The sequence below is a fragment of the Homo sapiens genome, chromosome 1, assembly GCF_000001405.40.
Source record: "Homo sapiens chromosome 1, GRCh38.p14 Primary Assembly".
Lineage (NCBI taxonomy): Eukaryota > Metazoa > Chordata > Mammalia > Primates > Hominidae > Homo > Homo sapiens.
This window is the reverse complement of record NC_000001.11, coordinates 6,200,371-6,204,839: the sequence shown is the minus strand read 5'-3', so window position 1 is coordinate 6,204,839 and position 4,469 is coordinate 6,200,371.

The following is a 4,469-nucleotide window of genomic DNA, read 5'->3' as shown; positions in this document are numbered from 1 at the left end:
AGATATTTGAGCTGTTTTCGTTTTGTTTTGTTTAAGACAGGATCTCACTCTGTCGCCGCGTGATCATATCTAACTGCAGCCTTGGCTTCCTTCCACCTCAGCCTCCCAAGTAGCTGGGACTACAACCACGCACCACCATGCCCGGCTAATTTTTTGTATTTTTAGTAGAGACGGGGTTTCACCATGTTGACCAGGCTGGTCTCGAACTCCTGACCTCAGGTGATCCACCCACCTTGGCCTCCCAAAGTGCTGGGATTACAGGTGTGAGCCACTGAACCCAGCCTTTTTTTTTTTTTTTTTTTTGTATTTTTAGTAGAAAAATAAAAAGTACAATGTGCTGCACACATCGGGGGTTTTGCTGTGTTACCCAGGCTGGTCTCCAACTCCTGGGCTCAAGCATTCTGCCTGCCTTGGCCTTCCAAAGTTGCTGGGATTACAGACGTGAGCCGCCTTGCCTGGCCTTGAGCTGGGTTTTGAAGGATGCGTAGGAGTAGGAGTTTGCTAGGAGAAGGAAGTGAATTCTAGAGAGAAACTAGCTGTTCTTTTGAGGACTGTCCCTAGCCCTGGTTCTTTTTTTTTTTTTTGAGACTGAGTCTCATTCTGTCACCCAGGCTGGAGTGCAGTGGCGCAATCTCGGCTCACTGCAAGCTCCGCCTCCTGGGTTCACGCCATTCTCCTGCCTCAGCCTCCCGAGTAGCTGGGACTACAGGTGCCCGCCACCACGGCCGGCTAATTTTTTGTATTTTTAGTAGAGACAGGGTTTCACCATTCACAGGATGGTCTCGATCTCCTGACCTCGTGATCCGCCCCACCTTGGCCTCCCAAAGTGCTGGGATTACAGGCGTGAGCCACCATGCCCGGTCCCTAGCCCTGGTTCTATTTGTGGACCAAATCATAATGACAGTAGTAGCAATGGCTAATGTTTATGTGTTTATAGGCCAACATTCTTTTATGGGCCAAGATTCTTTTTTTTTTTTTTTTTTTGAGATGGAGTTTTGCTCTTGTTGCCCAGGCTGGAGTGCAATGGCGCCATCTCAGCTCACCACAACCTCCGCCTCCCGGGTTCAAGCGATTCTCCTGCCTCAGCCTCCCGAGTAGCTGGGATTATAGGCATGTGCCACCGCGCCTGGCTGATTTTGTATTTTTAGTAGAGACGGGGTTTCTCCATGTTGGTCAGGCTGGTCTCGAACTCCCGACCTCAGGTGACCTGCCCGCCTCTGCCTCCCAAAGTGCTGGGATTACAGGCGTGAGCCACCACACCGGGCCTTTTTTTTTTTTTTTTGTACAAGGGGAGGGAGGGTGGGGAGATATGGGCCAATATTTTATTCTAAGCTGTTTAACTTATATTAACTCATTTAATCTGGAGAACACTCTTAAAAAGTAGAAAATATTACCCCAGAAAGTGGTGGAGCTGGTATACAAAACCGCGTAGGTGCTTTGTTAAGGAATGATGCATTAGTTTCCCGGTAGGAGGTGAGTGCTTCATTCATCCATTCATTCATGTCTGCATCTGTTCAACTAGTATTTACAGAGCATCTACCATGGGCACATAGAAGGGAACACACCAGCCAAGGTTAGTCAAGTACACAGATTAACAAATAATGACAGGCTGCATTAACTGCTTGGAAGAAAATCATAAGGATGATAGGCCGGGTGCCGTGGCTCACACCTGTAATCTCAGCACTTTGGGAGGCTGAGGTGGGCGGATCACCTGAAGTCAGGAGTTCGAGACCAACCTGGCCAACATAGTGAAAACCCGTCTCTACTAAAAATACAAAAATTAGCTGGGCACGATGGATCATGCCTGTTATCCCAGCACTTTGGGAGGCCGAGGCGGGTGGATCACGAGGTCAGGAGTTCGAGACCAGCCTGGCCAGCATGGTGAAACCCTGTCTCTACTAAAAGTACAAAAAATTAGCCAGGCATGGTGGCACGCACCTGGAGTCCCAGCTACTTCGGAGGCTGAGGCAGGAAAATTGCTTGAACCTGGCAGGTGGAGGTTGCAGTGAGCCGAGATTGCGCCATTGCACTCCAGCCTGAGTGACAGAGTGAGACCTCTGTCTCAAAAAAAAAAAAAAAAAAAAAAAAAAAGGAAAAAAAGGAAAAATTAGCTGGGTGTAGTGGTGCATGCCTGTAATCCCAGCTACTCTTGCGAGGCTGAGGCAGGAGAATCGAGATGGCGCCACTGCACTCCGGCTTGGGTGACAGAGTGAGATTCCGCCTAAAAAATTAAATAAATAAATAAGGATGATGAGATGGAGGGCAGTTGGGAGGGGCTCGAGCTGAGGACCACACTAGGTAACCATGAGCAGAGAGGGGGAACTGAGCTTGAGACCCCCAGAGGATAAGAAATTAAGAAAAGCCAGGAAGGCTGGGCGCAGTGGCCCACACCCGTAATCCCAGCACTTTGGGAGGCCAGCGTGGGTGAATCTCTTGAGCCCAGGAGTTCAAGACCAGCTTGGGCAACATAGCAAGACTCCCCCCTCTATAAAAAATACTAAAACTTAGCTGGGCATGGTGGCTCGTGCTTGTAGTCCCAGCTACTTGAGAGGCTGAGGTGGAAGGATTGCTTGAGCCAGGAGGTTGAGGCTGCAGTGAGCTGTGACTGCACCTCTGCAGTCCCACCTGGGTGATAGAGTAAGACCCTGTCTCGAAAGAAAAACAAAAATAGAAAAGCTGGGAAAAGTTCCAAGCAGAGGCAAGAGCAAGTGCAAAGCCCCAGAAATGGGAAGACATTTAGAGACTAGCAGATCAATGTGGCTGGAGATGAAGGAGCTCAGGGTGGGGAGTAGGGCTGAACATGGCATGGGAGTGAGGATGGAGGATGGGGGTGAGGCTGGAGAGGTGGGGGCGGGGCAGGGGGTGTGGGGTGAGGGATGAGGGTTTGAGTGTGGGGAGGTGGGGGTGAGGGTGAAGAGGTGAGAATGGGCTCATGAGGGTCAGGGTGATCTACGGGACACTAGTCTAGAGATGCCAAGGATGCCACTGGCTGTACCTGTGGGGAGTCCAGGGAGGGGTAGAGGCTGCACACATTGGCCTGGGGAGTCATATTTAAAGGGAAGAGCATGTGGGTCTTGTCTAAAGATCAAGTGTAGATAAGGACGGGAGGAGGCTGGGTGTGATGGCTCCCGCCTGTAATCCTAGCACTTTGGGAGGCTGAGGCAGGAAGATTGCTTTAGCCCAGGAGTTCTAGATCAGCCTGGGCAACATAGCCATAGTGAGACACCAACTCTCTACAACAGCAAAACAAAACAAAACAAAAAAACATGCAGCTGGGCATGGTGGTGCACACCTGTGGTCCTAGCTACTCAGGAGGCTGAGGTGGGAGGATTGCTGGAGCCTAGGATGTCAAGGCTTCAGTGAGCCGTATTCGCACCACTGCACTCCAGCCTGGGCAACAGAGCGAGAGCCTGTCTCAGAAAAAAAAAAAAAAAAAAGAAAGAAAAAGGAAAGAACAATAAAAGTCAACTGCTGAGAGGGAGGTTTAGGAAGAAGGGGCTGGCATTATGACTGAGGTGTGAAATAGTCTTTTGGGCCAGGTGCAGTGCCTTATGCCTGTAATCCCAGCAATTTGGGAGGCCAAGGTGGGAGGATCACTTGAGCCCAGGAGTTTGAGGCTGCAGTAAGCTATGATCACACCACTGCACTCCAGCCTTGGTGACAGAGCAAGACCCTGTCTCTATTAAAAACAACAAGAAAGGGAAATAGTCCCTTGGGGGAGAGATTTAGGATTGTCAGTAGCCCTGAGGGCTCGCTTAGGGTCCGTTATCAGCCAGGGTCCAGTCAAAAGACAACACATTATAGTTTTTAACTGAGAGAATTTAATATAAAGGATTGTTAACTAGGTATAAAGATGTGTTTAGGTAACTGTCGGGGTATAATACTAACAGTAGCAACTGCAGGAAGTAGCTACCACTGGTAGGTGGTATTATTAAAATGTAGATGCTTGAGGAGGGGCACAGGGAGGTGAAACTCAGACATCTGAGGAGAGGGTGCTGCTCTGCTAGGGCTGGTGTCTCTGAGGAGAAAACGAGGCTGGTTCTGCAAATGTTGGAATAAGTGCAGACTGGATTCCACTGCTGCTTCCAGAATGTTCCAACTGCCACCTCCAGGATAAAGAAGCAAGAGTGGATGACACCAGACAGGACAGGAGCAAGCAGGAAGCAAAGCCCCCTATTGATAGAGCCAAACCGGGATCAGCTGGAAAGCAGAAGTGTTTGCAGAGGCCCAGCCTGATCATTATAGAGCCAAGAACAGCAGCTGGCTTTGGAGCTTGGTCAACCGGCTTGAGGCCTGAGTTGAAAGCTAGACCCATCAGCACAGTCTCTTCTGGTGATTGGACTTTTGCTAGGTGAGTACACTGAAGCCAGGTAAAGGGAGTGGAGAGTGTGTGTGCCACTGAGTGATTTACAATTCAGGATCCTGGAATATAATTCCGTGAGGACGCAGCGGGTGACTGGGTGCAAAGT